The sequence below is a fragment of the Homo sapiens genome, chromosome 22, assembly GCF_000001405.40.
Source record: "Homo sapiens chromosome 22, GRCh38.p14 Primary Assembly".
In the NCBI taxonomy this organism is placed as follows: Eukaryota; Metazoa; Chordata; class Mammalia; order Primates; family Hominidae; genus Homo; species Homo sapiens.
Window position 1 is genome coordinate 10846314 of NC_000022.11, and position 19756 is coordinate 10866069.

General features: G+C 49.4%; 1 pseudogene; it reads left to right on the forward strand.

The window, feature by feature from the left end:
* The first annotated feature begins 12681 nt into the window (after positions 1 to 12681).
* LOC100289194 (fibrous sheath CABYR-binding protein-like) lies at positions 12682 to 18162 on the forward strand (annotated as a pseudogene).
* The last annotated feature ends 1594 nt before the right edge of the window (positions 18163 to 19756 follow it).

A 19756-nucleotide genomic window follows, 5' to 3' on the forward strand; every position in this document is an offset into this window, starting at 1 on the left:
CCTTCCCTTCTAAATCTTAATTTCTTAACATTAAGCTTTCATAGTTGTAAGTTGAAAGTAATAGTAATATTGATATGTGATGACTGCAAAGGTTAAATATCATTTATCATTATTAGACTCATATCTGCAGAGCAATTTTAACCACGTCTAACAATACCTTTCTTGTTATAGATGGCATATGTTTAGTTGTCTTTCATAAAAAGTAATAACATGTTTTAACAAACTTATCTTCTGAGTTTAGTATGTATATTGTGATATTATTGTTGAGTAGCATTGGTATTTCATAGGTTGATTTGCTTTTTAGTAAAGATATGAATATTTTTGCATATTAACTTTTTATAGCCTCAAATGATAGTCTTTTTTGTAAGTAATTCACATGTCAGGCACTGTTTATTTACATAAATACTTTTTAAAATATTAACAAGAAAAGTTAAACTTATGCTATGATGTAGTCAAGTACAATCCTATTATATATAAAATCAGGTTTGATATTTTTTTCTAATGAAATGATTTTGCCAGTAATCAAAAACTTTAAATTAGAAAATGAAGATCTGAGCATCTTTATTGGCATAATAAAACTTAACTCTCATTGAATTGAAGTGACTATAACGAAGTAAGTAACACCACTGAATAGTCCCTGACACATGAAAGGTACACAAGTACTTTCTTATTGCAAATGTTTCTCTGCTTTAAAACTTTGGCTTTTTAATTGTTGCTTTTAAAAACAGGGTTTACCTTAGTTTTATTTTTTCAGAGTACCTTCAAGTTTAAATCTAAGAGTGATATTCATTTGGCAGAACATCATAAACAGGTTTTATATGATGGGAAACTTGCAAGTAGCATTGCCTTTACATATAATTGCTAGGGCCACTGATACTCAACTCTGCCTGGAATCATCACCAAAAGAGGATGCATCAATTTTTGTGCATTCCCAACATGCTCTAATGCTTCCGGTGGGTGAATCATGGCTTTGTTTTCATGTTCTTGTCAGAATTTAACAATATTTTTATTTTATATATCAAACATTGCTCATCTATAAATCTGTGACTTTTTGTTTCTTTTTGGCTTTTGCAGATCTTTTAAGTGAAACTTTAAAGAATGTCTATCTTTTCTGTAGCAATATGCTCTACCCTGGCCTTGTCTCCTTAGTAGGAAATCTGTCATACCTATTATCTTATATATTATACAGCCTTTCAAATTAAATCAATTAACTGAATAAGTTAGTTGTTAGACATAAAAACATACTTTGCTTTAAGATTGTATTACTAATATTCTGTAACATTAAAATTACTTGTCTTTAAATCCATCAATAGTATTTCTGATTTTAAAATAACATTTGATTTTAACTTCATATTTTTAGTGTAAAAAAAAATCTTAGGTTGACCTAAGATTTGAAATTTAAAAGTGATTAGCAAAGGTACTCACTTTTTTGTCTTACATGTGTATAAAAATTATAATTGAGGGCTTAAAAAATTTCCAACTATGTTATTTAATTCCCTTATAAACGTATTTGGACCAAGGAAATAGTGATGAAAATCATTCTATAGAAGTTTAATAAACATTTTTGTTTTTAGACATAGGATGTGAAAGGGATAGTAACACATTCAATTCATAGTGCAATTCATTCAATTGGACAGATTCAAGTGCTTTTTCCACTGTTTCCCCAGTTGGATAATTGGCAGCTCAATGACAGTCAAGTGGAAACAACTGTCTGGTAAGTTTTCTTTACATGTACAATTGCTGGTATTTTATACACACTTAGACTATACATGATGTACTCAGTGCTGTGTAAATGTATTACAGTATTTGGGTTCTGCCCTTAAAGTGCTAATACATTTTTTAGAACTAATGCAGATAGATATTTATACAATAAATAAAGAAAACCCTGACATTTAGGTTGTTATACTATAAAGGAATGCCTTTTGTGACAATAAATAGAAAATCCTTAACAAAGATAGCATAGTGATTATAATATACTATGTTGAGGTAAAATATGAATCCTGACCTTATCATTTGCATATACTCATGGTTCGAATTGTCCATGAAACCCTGTCAGGTTGAAGAAAATTACTAGGGTAAAATTATTCAGAAGAATAATATTTATTAGCAATTACATAATTTATATCATAAAGACTGGTATTATTTTATGATGCTTTTGTCGTGGCATAAGTCTAGCATAATATTAATTGACATCAACCCTTATTTATATATAGTTTATGTTTGAGGACTCAAATCTAACTAGTGGCAAATCCAAGTTTATGTAAAAATTAAATCTCTTCTAATGAGTGTAATTTCATATGCATTTTTATAGCTTCTCTTTTATTTAAAGAAACCTTATGTGCCAGACTCTAATTTACTGTTATATCTTAGAATTATATATACAAGAATTTAAAAATGAACTCTAGTAGCTATTTTGACTATACACATTGCCATGCTTGGGGATTTTAATGGGCAAGTTATATAGATAAGCATTAATTTTTATTCCAAAAGTAACATAGTAGTGCTTCATCAGTATATATACATATACATGAGCTCCTTCATGGGTTATCTAATTTTGAATTGATGGTGAATCTAGTGAATGAAGGTATGGGAAAAATTTAAGGTACAATGAAGTGTAATACATGCTTTTTCTCATAATTATTATCTAAATTAGGTATTGATGAAATTCAATTTTAGTATTTCTAATAATATTATTTCTGTTTTGGGAACATCTTTATGTAAAGTATAAATCTAAATATAGATAAGGAATTTGTACATTTATAACATTACCTCCCGTCTACGGGTCTTGCCGCCGTTTATATCAATATAGTGTAAAGGTTGGAGTTTTGAAAGTAAAAAACTTTGATGTGAAAAGGAATCCTGAGGTTATGTCCTGCTGTGATACTATTTTGTTTGTGAGATCTCAAATAATCTAATTGGAAGGTAGCTCAGCTTAGTGGAAAAATCAAACTTAAAATTTCTTTCCTTTATTTAAATTCGAAATGTTTTGCTATTTATCATCTCAGTGAACTAAGACACATTATGATCAGTAATTTAAAATCTAGTCAGTACTATGAAAAGAAGTGGGAGATGAAGTAGCCACTAGAAAAATCCATGTATAATTTTTCTTATGAAATAATATGAAATACATATATTATCAAATCTTACTGCTAAAACCATATGTCATAGGTTATCTGGTTCATTAATACAAGATGCATGGTTACTTTTTACTGTCCTTCCTCAAAACTCATTTAATATGTATATCATATCTTGGTATTTAAATTGTATTTATTTCATCATGGAGATAAAAGAGAGTGTGAGGAGTCAGCATACTTATTTTCATTTTGATTTTAGTTCTTTTATATCATTCATCCTAATGTTTCCCTGTATTAACTAATTCCAACTTTTTCAGTGATGCCTATTACGTCTTTAGTTTCTTTCTTTATTTATTTAAGATGGACTCTTACTCTTTTGTCCAGGCTGGAGTGCAGTGCTGTGATCTCTTGACTCACTGCAACCTCGGTTTCCCAGACTCAAGCAATTCTCCTGACTCAGCCTCCCAAGTAGCTGGTGAGGCACCTGGGGCAGAGAAAAAAAAAAAACAAAACAAAAACCTCGCGTGCAGAGGAGTGGGGCCTGGGTCCCTCACAGACGAAAGTGCCTTCCCATCAGCCCCTTCGCTGGGCCCAGTGGACCCTGGCGTCCCTGGTTCCACCCCAGGATGCGCCTCAGGCCGCTAGGGGTACCTCAAGGCGGACAAAAGGCCCATGAGGGGAAGGTGAGGTTTGAGGGAGGATAGGTGAGGCACCTGTGGCAGGAAAAAAAAAAAAGCGCCACGGAGAAGGGGGGGCCTGTGTCCCCCATGCACGAAAATGCCTTCCCATCAGCCCCTGCGCTGGGCCCCGTGGACACTGGCAACACTGTTTCGAGCACAGTGTGTGCCTCGGGCCTGATAGGGGTACCCCAAGGAGGGCAGAAGGCCAATGAGGGGAAGGTGAGGGACCTGGGGCAGAGAGAAAAAAAAAAACGCACCTTAGAGAAGCGGGGCCTGGGTACCCACGGACGAAGGTACCTTCCCATCAGCCCCTGCGCTGGGCCCCGGCGACCCTGGCGTCCATGGTTCGAGTCAAGGGAGCGCCTTGGGCCGCTAGGAATACCCCAAGTCGGACAGAAAGCCCATGATGGGAAGTTAACGTTTGAGAGAGGAGAGGTGAGGCATCTGTGGCAGAAAACAAAACAAAACAAAACAAAACAAAACAACAAAAAAAAGCCGCGCCTAGGAGAAGCTGGGCCTGGGTCCCCCACGGAGGAAAATGCCTTCCCATCAACCCCTGCGCTGGGCCCTGTGGACCCTGGTTCGAGCCCCGGGTGCGCCTTGGGCCCGCTAGGGGTACCCCAAGACGGGCAGAAATCCCATGAGGGGCAGTTGAGGTTTGAGGAAGGTGAGGTGAGGCACCCGGGGCAGAAAAAAAAAAAAAAACCGCACCACGGAGAAGCGGAGCCTGGGTCCCCAACGGACGAAAGTGTCTTCCCATTAGCCCTTGCGCTGGGCCCAGGGGACCCTGGCGTTCCTGGTTCGAGACCAGGGTGCGCTTCAGGCCGCTAGGGGTACCGAAAAGCGGACAGAAGGCCCATGAGGGGAAGGTGACGCACCTGGGGCAGAGAAAAAAACCAACAACCGCGCCGCAGATAAGCGGGGCCTGGGTCCCCTACAGAAGAAACTGTCTTCCCATCAGCGCTTGCGCTGCACCCCGGGGACCCTGGTATCCCTGGCTCGAGCCCAGGGTGCGCCTCGGCCTGCTAAGGGTACCCCAAGGCAGACGGAAGGCCGATGAGGGAAAGGTGAGACACCTGGGGCAGAGAAAAAAAATAAAAAACTGCGGCGCCCAGAAGTGGCGCCTGGGTCCCCCACGGACCAACGTCCCTACCCATCAGCCCTACACTGGGCCCCAGAGACCCTAGCGTCCCTGGCTCGAAACCAGGGTGCGCCTCTGGACCGCTAGGGGTATCTCAAGGCGGGCAGAAAGCCCATGAGGGAAAGGTGAGGCACCTGGGGAAAAGCAAAAAAAAAAAAAAACAACAAAAGAACAACAACAAAAAATCACCGCAGAGAAGCAGAGCCTGGGTCCCCAAGGAAGAAAGTGTCTTCCCATCAGCCCTTGCGCTGGGCCCCAGGGAACCTGGTGTCCCAGTTTCGAACCCAGGGTGTGCGTCTGGCCACTAGGGGTAACCCAAGTCTGACAGAACGCCCATGAGGGGAAGGTGAGGTTTGAGGGAGGAGAGGTGAAGCAACTGTGGCAGAAAAAAATAAAAAACACCACGCCGCGGAGAGGGCAGAGAAAAAAAAAAAAAAAAAAAAACCCTGCCGCGGAGAAGCGGGGCCTGTGTCCCCCACGGACAAAAGTGTCTTCCCATCAGCCCCTGAGCTGGGCCCAGGGGACCCTGACATCCCTGGTTCAAGACCAGGGTGCACTTCAGGCCTCTTGGGGTACCCCATGGTGGGCAGAAAGCCTATGAGGGGAAGGTGAGGTTTGAGGGAGGAGAGGTAAGGCACCTGTGGCAGAAAAGAAAAAAAAAAACAAACCGCGCCACAGAGAAGCAGGGCCAGGGTCTCCCACGGACGAAAGTGCCTTCTCATCAGCCCCTGCGCTGGGCCCCGGGGACCCTGTCATCCCTGGCTCGAATCCAGGGTGCGCCTCTGGCCTGCTAGGGGTTACCCAAAGCGGGCAGAAGGCCCATGAGGGAAAGGTGAATCACCTGGGGCAGAAAAAAAACAAACAAAAAAAAAAACAAAAAAAAAACCGCGCTGCGGAGAAGCGGGACCTTGGTCCCCCACCAGTGAAAGTGTCTTCCCATCGACCCTTGCGCTGGGCCCCGGGGTCCCCGGCGACCCTTATTCGAGCCCAACACCTGCCTGGGGCCGCTAGGGGTACCCCAAAGCGGGCAGAAGGCCCATGAGGGGAAGGTGACCCACCTGGGGCAGAGGAAAAAAAAAACACGCCTCGGAGAAGCGGGGCCTGGGTCCCCCACGGAAGAAAGTGTCTCCCCATCAGCCCTTGCGCTGTGCCCCGGGGACCCTGGCATCCCTGGTTCGAGCCCAGGGTGTGCCTCGGGCCGCTAGGGGTACCCCAAGGTGGACAGAAGGCCCATGAGGGGAAGGTGAGGCACCTGGGGCAGAGAAAAAAAAAAAGAACTGCACCGCCGAGAACCGGGGACTGGGTCTCCCACGGACGAAAGTGTATTCCCATGAACCCTTGCGTTGAGCCCCAGGGACCCTGGCGTCCCTGTTTCGAGTCCAGTGTGCGCCTAGGGTGGCTAGGGATACCCCAAGTCGGACAGAAGGCCCATGAGGGGAAGTGAGGTTTCAGGGAGTAGAGGTGAGGCACCTGTGGCAGGTGTCCATCTGTAAACTGCTTATCCATGCGAGCCCTGATGTCCACCAGGGGCTGGATGTCCCCCTGGGGCTAGATGTTCGCCTGGAGCCTGGTGTCTACCTGGGGCCTGATATCCAGGAGAGGCTTAGTTATCCACCTATGGCCATCTGGAGCCAGATGCCCACCTGAGGTTTGGTGTAAACCTAAGGCCTGATCTCTACCTGGGGCTTGGGTGTTCATGTGGGGCCTGATGTCCACCTAAGACTATGTGTTCACCTGGAGCCTGGGTGACCATCTGGGTTATGACGTTCAGCTGGGGCCCAGAGTTCAGCTGGGGACTGGGTCAACCTTCTGCCTGATGCACACCTGGGGACTAGGTACCCACCTGGGCTCCCGTGTTCACTGCAGCCTGATGTCTTACCTGGGGCCATGTGTTTACCTAGGACCAATGCATCCACCTGGGGTCTGAGTGCCCTCATGGAGCCTGGAGTTTTCCTGGGGCCTGGGGTCTGCCTTAGGCTTAAGTGTACATCTGTGGCCTGATGTTCCCCTTGGGATGGATGTCCACCTGGGGACAGATATTCAGTAGGGGCCTGAGTGTCCACCTGGTTTGTGATGTCTACCTGGGGCCTGGTGTTCATCTGAGGTTTGATATCCACCTGGGGCCTGGACATTTGTCTGGAACCTGATGTACAGCTGGTGCCTGAAGTTCATGAATGCCTGGTGTCCCCCTGGGGCCAGGTAGTCAACACAGGGCCTGAAGACTTTCTAGAGTTCAGTGTTCACCTGGGGCCTGAAGTCCACCTAGGGCTTGGGTGTCCAAATAGGGCCTGGTGTCAGCTTGAGATTTGTGTATTTACCTAGGGACTGGTTTTCCACTTGGGGTTTTTTTTTACTTGGTTTTTGTGTTAATCTGGGGTCTAGTGTCCACCTGGGGCCTAGGTATCCACCTAGGGACTATTGTCCAGCTGGAGACTAATGACTACCTATGGCCTGGTAATCACCTAAGGCTTTGTTTCACTTAGGTACTTGGTGCCAAACTGTTGCCTGCTGTTCACCTGGGCTATGGTGTCCACCTGGGGTCTGGATGTCAGCCTGGGGCTTGTTGTATACCTGTATCTTAGATATCCAGATAGGGGTCTGTTTTCTACTTAGGTGCAGCAGTCCATCTGGTGCTTGAGTGTCGACCTAAGGCCTGATGTCTATGTTGGACCTAGGGTTCACCTGAGGCCTGATATCCACCTGGGGCCTCAATGTCCAAATGTGGCCTGATGCCCATCTGGGCGCTGGGTGTCCACCTGCAACATGGATGTCCACTGGTACTTTATGTCCACCAGGGGCCTAATGTCCACCTAAGACCTGGTGTTCACCTGGGGTCTAATGTTCAGCTGAAGACCGGATGTCCACCTGGAGCCGAGGAATCCACCCAGGGACTGGTGTTGAACTGGGGCCTGATGACTACCCGGGGACAAGGTACACACCAAGCTTGATGTCCACCTGTCACCAGATGTCCACCTGAGTCCTGATGTCCATCTTGATCCTGGGTGTCCACTTTAGGCCTGATGTCCAGCTGGGGCATAGGTTCCCACTGGGGGCTTCCTGTTAACCTGGGGACTGGTGTCATTCTGGGGCCTAATGACCACGTGGGTTGTGTTATTCACCTAGGGCCTGGTGTCCACTTGGGGCTTGAGTGTAACCCTGGACCTGGCACCCACATAGGACTTGGGTATCAAACTGGCCCCTTGGTGTCCAGTTAAGACATCATGTGAACCTGGTGCCTGAGTGTCCACTTGGGGCCAAATGACTACTGGGGGCCTGAATGTCAACCTAGAATCTGAGGTTTACTAGGGGCCTAGGTATCCACCTGGGGCCCAATGTCCACCTGAGCCTGGGTGTCAACCTGGGGCCTGGTGTAAACCTCTAGTTCAGTGTCCACCTTGGGCTTGATGTCAACCTGGAGCCTGATGTCCACCTGAGTACTGATGTCCATCTTGATCCTGGGTGTCCACTTTAGGCCTGATGTCCAGCTGGGGCATAGGTGCCCACTGGGGGCTTCCTGTTAACCTGGGGACTGGTGTCATTCTGGGGCCTAATGACCACATGGGTTGTGTTATTCACCTAGGGCCTGGTGTCCACTTGGGGCTTGAGTGTAACCCTGGACCTGGCACCCACATAGGACTTGGGTATCAAACTGGCCCCTTGGTGTCCAGTTAAGACATCATGTGAACCTGGCGCCTGAGTGTCCACTTGGGGCCAAATGACTACTGGGGGCCTGAATGTCAACCTAGAATCTGAGGTTTACTAGGGGCCTAGGTATCCACCTGGGGCCCAATGTCCACCTGAGCCTGGGTGTCAACCTGGGGCCTGGTGTAAACCTCTAGTTCAGTGTCCACCTTGGGCTTGATGTCAACCTGGAGCCTGATGTCCACCTGAGTACTGATGTTCACCTTTGACCTGATGTCCACCTGTGGACTGTTTATCCACCCATGGCCTGATGTTCACCTGGGGCTGAATGTCCAACTGTGACCTGTTGTGCACCTGGAACCTAGGCATCCACCTGCAGCCTGATGTTCAGCTGGGCTGGGACCCGGAGTTCACCTGAGGCATGATGTCCACCTGAAGCTTGATGTTCACCTGGGGGCTGGGTGTCCACTTGGGGCCCAATATCCACCTGGAGACTAGGTACCCACCTGGGATCTGGTGTTCCCTCAAGATTGGTGTTCAGCTGTGGCCTAATGACCACCTGGGTCATGGTGTCTACCTTGGACTGGGTGCTCACCTGGAGCCAGTGTTCACTGGGGGCCTAGTGTGCACCTGAGACTGGGGGATGCACCTGGGGTCTGATGTCTACCTGGTGCCTAGGTATCCATTTGGGGCCTAATGTTCATCTGGAATCTGATATCCACCTGGGGCCTTGTAATTACCTGGGGTCTGGGCATCCACCTAGGGCTTGAGTATCCTTCTGGGGCCTTGAGTTTTACTGGGGACTCGTGTCTGCCTTGGACCTGGGTGTACATCTGTTGCCTAATGTACACCTTGAGAGTGATGTCAACCTGGGGACAGTTGTCCTCTTGGGGTCTGAGTGTGTACCTGGTGCCTGATGTCTGCCTGGGGACTTGTGTTCACTTGAGACCTGATATCCACCTGGGGCCTGGGTGTCCACGAAGGGCTGATGTTCAGCTGGAGACTGGATATCCACCTGGGGCTTAGGGATCTATCCAGAAACTGATGTCAAACTGGGACCTGATGTCTACTACCTGGGGACTAGGTATCCATGTGAGGCTTGATGTTCATCCGCGGCCAGACGTCCATCTGATGCTTGATGTCCGCCTCAGTCCTGGGTGTCTACTGGAGACCTCATGTCCAACTAGAGCTTAGGAACCTACTGGGGGCCTCGTGTAAACCTGGGGACTGGTATGCAGCTGGGTCCTAATGATCCCCTGGGTCATATTATTCACCTAGGGCCTGGTGACACTTAGGGCTTGAGTGTCAACCTTAGGTCTTGTGTTCATCTTTGACCTGGTGTCCACCTGGGACTTGGGTATCGACCTGAGGACTTGGTGTCCAATTGAGGTGTCATGACCACCTGGGGACTGAATGTCAATCTGGGGTCTGATGTAAACCTCTAGTTCAGTATACACCTGGGCATGGTCTTCACTTGGGGCCTGCTGTCTACCTGGGCCTTGCTGTCAACCTGGGGCCCGATGTAAACCTCTAGTTCAGTATCCACCTGGGGCCAGATGTCTTCCTAGAGACTTATATTCACTTTTGACCTGATGTCCACCTGGGGACTTGCTATGCATCCATGGTCTGATATTCACCTGGGGACAGATGTTCAACTGTGGCCAGAAGTGCACCTGGGGTCTGGGCTTCCACCTAGAGCCTGATGTTTAGCAGGGGCTAGAGTTTACATGGAGAATGATGTCCACCTGAAGTTTGATGTTTACCCGGGACCTGATACCTGCTTGGTGCCCAAGTATTCTCATGTGCCTAATGTCCACTAGTTGGCCTGGTGTTCATCTGAGGGCTTGGTGTCAACCAGTGGCTTTACGTACACCTGGATTCTAGTGTCCTCGTGGGGCCTTATGACCACCAGGAGTCTGGTGTACCCCTGGGGTCTAGTATCCACCTGGAGTCTGGGTGTCCACCTGGAGCCTAATGTTGAGGTTAGACTGAGTGTCAGCCTGAGGCCTGATGTCTACTTAGGGCATAGGTATTCACCTGGGGCTTGTTGTTTACCTGGGGACTAATGTCAACCTTGAGCCTAGGTATCCACCTGGGGAATAGTATCCAGTTGCAGCCAGATGTCCACCTATGGCCTGAAGCATGGTTGTTATCCTAAGACCTTGTATTAGTCCATTTTCACACTGTTATAAAAAACTACCTGATATTGGGCAACCTATGAGGAAAAGAGGTTTAACTGACCCACAGTTCTTCAGGCTTAATAGGGAGCATGACTGGGCATGCTCGGGACACTTACAATCATGATGTAAAGCCAAGAGGAAGCAAGCCCTTTTTACCATGGGGGAGGAGGAGGGAGAGAGAAGGGGGATGTGCTACACACTTTCAAACAAACAGATCTCATAAGAACTCTATCACGAGAACAGCAAGTGGGAAGTCTGCCCCCATGATTCAATCACCTCTCACCAGGCCCCTTCTTCAACCCATGTGGATTACAATTCAACATGAGATTTGGGTGGAGACATAGAGCCAATATCAGGCCTGATGCCCACCTGGAGTCGTGTCTACCTGAGGCCTAATGTAGACATGAGGCCTGGGCATCCACCTACGACCTCATGTTAAGATAGGGGCTGGAGTTCTTTTGGTGTCTAGTGTATACCTGGGGCCCAGATGTAAAACTAGAGCCTGATGTTTCGGATGGAAACCTGGGCCCCAGGTGCTCATCAGATCCTAGGTGAAAACTCAGGCTTCAGGTGCACGTCAGACTCCAAGTGGACACATAGGCCCCAGGTTGACACTAAGATTTCAGGTAGACTCTGGGTCCCAGAAAAACACCCCGCCCTAGGTGGACAGCTGAACCTGAGTAGACTTCAGGCCCCAGATTGACATCTGGCCCCAGGTAGATTCCTAGGCCCAAGGTGAATACTCAGTCTCCAGCCCTAGGGGAATTCAGTCTTAGGTGACTAAGGACTGGTGTTCCTCTGGGGCCTCATGTCTACCTGGGCCCTGGGAGTGCACATGGAGCCAGATGTCTATAAAGGGCCTGAGTGTCCACTAGGGCCTGAGGTTCACCAGAAGCATACACACCCACCTAGGACCTCGTGTTCACCTAAAACCTGGTGTTCACCTGGGGCCTGGGTGACAACCTGGGATCTGATGTTCACCTGAGGCCCAGAGTTCAGCTGCTGCCTATGTCAGCCTGGCACCTGATGCACACGAGAGGACTAGGTGCCCACCTGAGGACTGGTGTTCTTGGGGAACTGGTGTTCAACTGTGGATTGATGACCAACTGGGTCCTGGTGTCCTCCTGGAACCTGATGTCCACCTGGGACTGCATGCTTACCTAGGGTCTGGTGTTCCTCTGGGACCTGGTGTACCCCTCAGACCTGGGGTCCACCTGGGCCTAGTATCCACTTGGGGCCTCATATCCATCTGGAACATCATGTCCATTTGAGGCCTTGTAGTTACCTAGGGACTGGGTGTCCTTCTGACCCTTGAGTGTCCTCCTGGGGCCTGGGGTTCTCCTGGGGCCTGGGTGTACATCTCTGGCCTGATGTCCACCTTGGGATGGATGTCCACCTGGGGACAGATGTTCACTTGTGGCCTGAGTGTCCATCTCGTGTCTAATGTCTACCTGGGGCCTGGTGTTTGCCTGAGGCCTGATATCCACCTGGGGCCTGGGCATCCATTTGAGGCCTGATGTCTACCTAAGACCCGGTGTTTAAGTGGGGCACAGACTTCTTCCTGGAGCCCGACATTCATCTGGAGCCTGAAGTTCACCTATGCCTGTTGTCTACCTGAGGCCTATGTGTCAACCTAGGGCCTGAAGACCACCCTGAGTTCAGTGTTCACCTGGGGCCTGACATCTGCCTAGAGTCTGGGTGTCCACATAGGGCCTGATGATGGCTTGGGACCAAAGTATTTACCTAGGGCCTGGGTGTCTACTTAGAGCCTGACTTCTACATGGTTCATTGTGTCAACCTGGGACCTGATGTCCACTTAGGGCCTAGGTAAGCTCCTTATGACTAAAGCCCACATGGGGGCTGAAACCAGCTCACACCTTGTGTTAACCTAGGGCTTAGTGTCCACCTGAGGCCTGCCTGGGACCTAGTGACCCCCTGGGGTCAAGGTATCCACCTTGGGCCTGATGACCAATTGGGGCTTAAGGATCTACCTAGAGACTGGTGTCAACCTGGAACCTGATGTCCACTTGGGGTCTGGTGTACACCTTGGGCCTGATGCCCACCTGGGCATGGGTGTACACTTTGGGCCTAGTGTGCACCTGAAGCCTGGGTGTCAACCTGGGTCTTGATGCACACCTTTAGTCAGGTGTTTAATTGGGGCCTGATGAAATACTGGAGCCTGATTTACACCTGTGTACTGGGTCTCCACCTGGGGCCTGATGTCCACCTGCAGCCAGATATCCACCTGGCACCAGAGGTCTACCAGGAATCTGGGTGTCCACCTTGAAAATGATGTATTCCAAGAGACTAGGCATGCACATTGGGCCTGGGGTCCACCTGGGTCCTGATGTCTACCTGAGGCTGGTATTGAACTGGGGCCTGTGTGTTCACTTGGAGCCTGATGTTCATTTGGAACCTGGTGTTCACCTAGGACATGGGTATCCACCTGGATCCTGATTTTCAGGTGGGGAGTGGCTATAGACCTGGGACCTGATGGCCACCTATGCTATAAGTAACCCAACCACCTGGGGCCTGGTGTTCACCTGTGGCCTGATATCCACCTGGTACCTGTGTGTCAATCTAGTGCCTGGTGTTCACTTGAGGACTAGGTAGACACCTGAGGCTTGGCGTTCACCAGAGACCTGGTGTTCATCTTGCACCCAGTGTCCACCTGGACCCTGTGTATCAACCTGTGGCCTAGGTGGCCACTTGGAGCTTTATGTGCACCTGGGGCCTGAGAGTTTCCTAGGATCTGATGACAACTGGGGCCCAGCGATCCACCTGGGACATCAGGCTCCAAGTGTACGCCCAGGCTCCATATGGGAACCAGGCCAGGAGAATGCCAGCCCTTATGTGAACATCAGGTCCTAGATGGATGCCCAGGTCCCATATGTACATCAGGTCCCAGGTATACACTGGACTCCAGGTGGACACCAGCACTCAGTTGGATACACACACTCAAGGTGGACACCAGGCCCCACGTGAATTCCTACACTCCAGGTGAACATCAGGTCCCAAGTGGATACCTGGATCCCAGGTGGATACCAGTCTCTAAATTAATACCAGGCCTCAGATGGTCCTTCGGAGCCATGTGGGCATTAGTCGTCAGGAAGTTACCTAGGCCCAAAGTGGACATCAGGCCCCATGTTGACACAAGATCCAGTTGGAAGTCAGGCCCCAGGTGGACACCCAGGCCCTAGGTAAATACTTAGGTTCCAAGTTGACAGCAGGCCCTATGTGAACACTCAGAACTCAGGTGGACATGAGGCCTCAGGTGGACATCTGAGTTCATCTGGAACCTCGTGTTACAGGCCCCATGTAAACACCGGGCCTTAGGTGGATACCCAATCTCTAGGTGGACATCAGAGCTCAGATTGACACAAAGACCCCAGTAGACATAATGTACCAATGAATATCCAGGCCCCTGGTAAATACCCAGGCCCCACATTGACACGAGGGTCTATGTGGACACACAGGCCCTGGGTAGAAAACAGTCCCAAGGCGGACACTGGACTGGACATCAGGTCCCAGGTTGACAACCATGCTTCAAGTTGACACCAGGCCCCAAGTGAACATCTGGCCCCAGCTGGACACTAGTCCTCTTGTGAATACCTAAGCTCAAGGTTGACATCAGGCCCCATGTGAACACTAGACCCCAGATAAACACTTATGCCCTAAGTGGACATCAGGCCTCAGGTGGTTACCCAGTCCCAAGGTGAACATCAGGACCGCGATGGGCACCAGTTATCAAGTGGATTCCCAGGCCCCAGGTGAATATCAAGCCCTAGGTGGATACCAGGCCCCAGGTGGATACCAGGATCCTGGTAGACATCAGGTCCCAAGAGGACCCTAGAACCCAGGAGTACATTAGGCCACATTAACACAAAGGCCCCAGATGAATACCAGGCCAATTGTGGACATCAGGCCTGAGAAGGGTCCTCAGGCTCCAGGTGGACATCAGGCGCCAGGTGAACATCCAGCACTCAGATGAACATTAAGCTTCAGGTGGACATCATGCCTCAGGTGAACTCCAGGCCCCAGCTAAACATCAGGCCCCAGGTGGATGCCCAGGTTCCGGGTGCACATCTGGCCACAGTTGGACATTCAACCCCAGGTGACCATCAGGCCATGGGTGAATACACGGTTTCCAGGTGGACATCAGATCAAAGGGGAACATCAGTCCTCCAGTGGACATCAGGCCCAAGGTGAACACTGAACTAGAGGTTTACATCAGGCCACACGTTGACACCTAGTCCCAGGTGGACATCAGGCCCCAGGTGGATACCTAGGCTCCCAGTGAATTTGACACCAGGTTGACATTCAGGCCCCCAGTGGTCATCTGGCCTCATGTGAACACTCAGACCCCAGGTGCACATGATGTCTCAACTGGACACCAAATCCCTAGTTTGATACCCAAGGCCCAGGTGGACACCAGGTCCAAGGCTGACACTCAAGCCCTAAATGAATACCAAATTCTAGGTGAATAATTCAACCCAGGTGTTCATTAGGACCGAGCTGGATACCAGTCCCCAGGTTAACACAAGGCCCCCGGTGGGCACCTAGGCACCAGCTGGACATCAGGTCCTATGTAAACACCCGGGTCTCAGGTGAAAACCATGCCCCAGGTGGACATCAGGCACTAGGTGGACACGGGGCCACAGGTGGACATCTAGCCATTGGGCGACATCCAGCCCCAGGTGGACATAACCGTTTCCATGGATAAACCATTCCCAGGTGGATATCAGGCCTCAAGAGGATGGCAGTCACCAGGTAGCCATCAGGACTCAGATAGACACCAAGGTCCCACATGTACAGCAGGCCCCAACTGAACCCCAGACTCATGTGGACATCAGGCCACAGGTAGACACCAAGCCTTAGGTAGATACCTAACTTCAGGTGGACATCAGACCCCAGGTGGACACCCAGTCCCCGGGTGGGCAATCAGGCCCCAGGCCCACATCAGGCCTTAAGTGGACACCCAGGCCCCAAGTTGATATCCAGCTCCCAGGTGATCACCAAGCCCCAGGTAGACACCAGCCCATAGGTGAGCAACAGGATGCGGTAGATCATCAGGCCACAGCTGGATACCAGTCCCCGGTGAACACAAGGCCCCAGTGGGACACAGATCTAAGGCAGACATCAGGCCCCAGGTGGACATACAGGCCTGAGGTGGAATTCACCCTGAGGGGGACATTCGGCCCCAGGTGCGCATCAGGCCTCAGGTGAATAACCAGTCCCCAGGTGGACATTAGCCTGCAGGTCAACCACAGTCCCCAGGTTGATACCTGATCTCCAAGTGGCTACCCAATCTGCAGGGTAACATTAGGCCCCTGTAGGATCCCAGGCTGCAAGTGGATTCCTAGGCCCCTGGTGAACATCAGGTGCAGTTGTCCAAGCAGGTCCTGGGTGGACATAACTGTGTACAGGTAAGGAGTTGACCTGTGGGGAGGGTGAGCAGTCAGCAGCCCACTGGGGTCCTGAGAAGGTTTTCTGGAAGGAGGAGGCCGAGGGGATGGAAACTTAAAGAAGCGACCTCACTTCCTTGCCAACAGACCCTAACAGAACTAAGAATTCTGGTAACCAGGCCAGGCACATTGGCTCACACCTGTAATCCCAGCACTTTGGGAGGCTGAGGCAGGAGGATCATGAAATCAGGAGATCAAGACCAGCCTGACCAACATGGTAAAACCACATGTCTGCTAAAAATACAAAAAACAAACAAGGTCAGCAAATCGAGACCATCCTGGCTAACACAGTGAAACCCCGTCTCTACTAAAAATACAAAAAGTATCCGAGCGTAGTGGTGGGTGCCAGTAGTCCCAGCTACTCGGGAGGCTGAGGCAGGAGAATGGCATGAACCCGGGACGCGGAGCTTGCAGTGAGCCAAGATCTCGCCACTGCACTCCATCCAGCCTGGGCGACAGAGCGAGACTCTGTCTCAGAAAAAAAAAAAAAACGAAAACAAACAAACACAAAAAAACTAGTCAGGTGTGGTGCTGTGTGTCTCATGTCTGTAATCCCAGCTACTCAGCAGACAGAGGCAGGAGAAGTGATTGAACCCAGTAGGCAGATGTTGCACTGAGCCGAGATCATGCCACTGCACTCCAGCCTGGCCAACAGAATGAGACTATGTCTCAAAAAAAAAAAAAAAAAAAAAAAAAAAAAAGAATTCCGATAACCAGGCACCCACATCCTAGAGTTAGCCCCGTAGCCAGCTCACTTGGTGGGAGACGCTCAAGAGAGCAAGATGTTCTTGTGCTGCATCCCCACATCTCCAGGCTCTGGCTTCAGGAATGGCAGGAGTGAGAGCCTTTCTTTGCTGATGACGCCCTTGTAGGCTCATCCCTCACCCCAGATGCCTCTGGCCATTTGGCAGAAGCCCCCCCCGACCCCCCCCCACCAGGTACCACAGGACAGGAGTCACCAGGTAGACATCAGGCCCCAGATGGAGCTAGCAGGCCAGGCCTCACCAGTGATCCCACCAGGGCCACATCTGCACATTGTCCTTTTCCAGCCGGAGCCTCTGGAGCTCATTGAGACACAGGCACATGGTGAGGTCACCTGCAGTCTGGAAGTCTTTCCAGGGACAATGTTTTCAGGCTGAAATTCCTTTAAATTCAATGAGGTTGTTTTCATGTTTGTAAATTCCAGTGGAAAGCGAGTGATATTGGTGACCTCTCTCCTTTTTCAGCTCCTGCTTCAGGTGCAGAAATACAGCTATTTCCAGTGCCAGCTGTTGAGCCAGTGCCAGCACCAGGGGCAGATTCCCCTCCAGGGACAGCGCTGGAGCTAGAGGAAGCTCCAGAGCCCTCCTTCTGCTGCCCTGGGACTGCCCAGGACCAGCCCAGTGAGGAGCTGCCTGACTTCATGGCACCTCCTGTAGAGCCACGGGCCTCAGCCCTGGAGCTGAAAGTGTGGCTGGAGCTAGAGGTGGTAGAGAGGGGTGACCAGCACAGCTCCAGCCAGAAGCTCCCACACTGCTCCCAGTCCTGGGCACAGTGGAAGCTATGGAGGCAGAGACCAGGATGTGCAACCTGGGCTCCTCTGCCTCACTGAAGAGGGACTTCTCTCATTCAGCAGAGCAGCAGCCCTGCTGCTGAAGAGCCTGCTGCTACTGCTGCTGGGGGTATTTGCATGCCTGCAGGAGGTGCTGGAGAGCAAGAAAAGGAGCCTGTGAGCAGGGGTTCCAGCAGGTCCTCCTGCTCCCAGAGGCGACCTCCTCCTCCAGGCATGGAGGTTTGCCCTCAGCTAGGCATCTGGGCCATTTGCCTCTACTGTGCTGCCCAGGATGGCCTCTTCTTGACAGGCAGATAGGATGGCCTCTTCTTGACAGGTGGAGGGGGCCAGGGGCATCTCCAAAGGAAGCTTTTAAACTCAGCAGATTCACCCCAGAATCTCCATGCCTGCACCTGCCCAAGGATTTATTCATAGCTTAACTAAGAATTTCAAATTTCTCCCATTAACACTGAAATAAAGTTTGACTTTTTGAAACTTCCATGACTTCTTTCCCTCCCTAATATTGTAGATGGTGTTTTTGAGGCGATGTTGAAAACCTCTGATAGTTGCATGTTTTGTTGTGTTTTTTTTCTGTGATTAAATTGCCATCTGATCAAGTGATATTGAAAACCCTTCAGGTATGGCTTTTAGAAGACTTTGACCTATTTTTGCTTTTGTTGACTCTCCCTCCAGCTTTGCGGAAAGAGGGATCATGTAGGTTCATTTCTCAGGCAGATCAGTCACCTTTTGCCATCAAAGTTTTAGCATCCATTTCCAAAATTTGGTGTACAAGTTGGTATTTTGGTGTTTTTAGCTAATCTGGGGTCAAAACAGAATGCCATAGATGAGGAAGCTTGTAAACAAATTTCTTTCTCTCAGTTCTGGAGATGGCAAAATTCAAGATCAAGTGGTTAGCAGATTCCAAGTCTGGTGTGGGCTTGCTTTGTGATTCATAGACAGCCATGTTTCTACCATGTCCTCACATGACAGAAGGGATGAGGGAGCTCTCTATGGTGCCTTCAATAGGGGCTACTAATCCCACTCATGTGGTCCCTACCTTCATGATCTAATCATTCCCCAAGGCCCTACCTCCAAATATCATCACATAGGGAATTAGATTTCAACCCTTGAATTTGAGGGGGACAATAACATTTGGTCTATAGCATCAGGTTACCCAGAGCCTTATGCAATCAGAGGAAATCCAAAATCACCTATAAGTATTCGCTGCTCCCCTCTGGGCTTAGGGAAATCTTTAATTGCAGCTCTTGATTCAGCTTGGTCCAAGCTTAACTTCTACATTTGCCTGCATAACTTGTTCATGGGACAGAGGGAAGTATAGAGAAAACTGACCATTTGGAGTTTTAGGACAATTGATGGAAGAGGGCTTGGCATCTGGATGAGAAGTGGAGGGAGAATAGAACAAAGGCACAGAAGGAGAGAGCACAATGAGAAAGGGAAAGAGGGACATCTGGACATAAGGGCCAACTGGAGGGCAGGGAAGGTAATTTTCCTTACATTTTAAACTCAGACCACATATCACATCAGAATCACCTGAGGGAGACATTTTCAATGCATATTCCTGAGTTTCTTCTCTTGGAAATTTTTATTTCTTAAATCTTGAGTTGTGCTGATTTATCCATATTTATCATAAGAATTTTAGATAATTCTTACTTTGGGAGGCCCAGGCAGTGGATCACTTGAGGTCAGGAATTCAAAACCAGCCTGGCCAATATGGTGAAACCTCATCTCTACTAAAAATACAAAAATTAGCCAGGCATGGTGGTGCACGCGTGTAGTCCCAGCTACTTGGGAGGCTGAGGCAGGAGAATCACTTGAGTCAGGGAGGCAGAGACGACAGTGAGCTGAAATCATGCCACTGCACTCCAGCCTGGGCAACAGTGAGACTCCGTCTCAAAAAAAAAATTGTGGATAATTCTGATGCAGTTAGAAAACAAAGCAGAGCTTGACAGCCACTGGGTTGAGACGTATATCAAGAAGACATTTGATTATGTAAAATAACTGCAAAACAAACTGAAGGGGAAT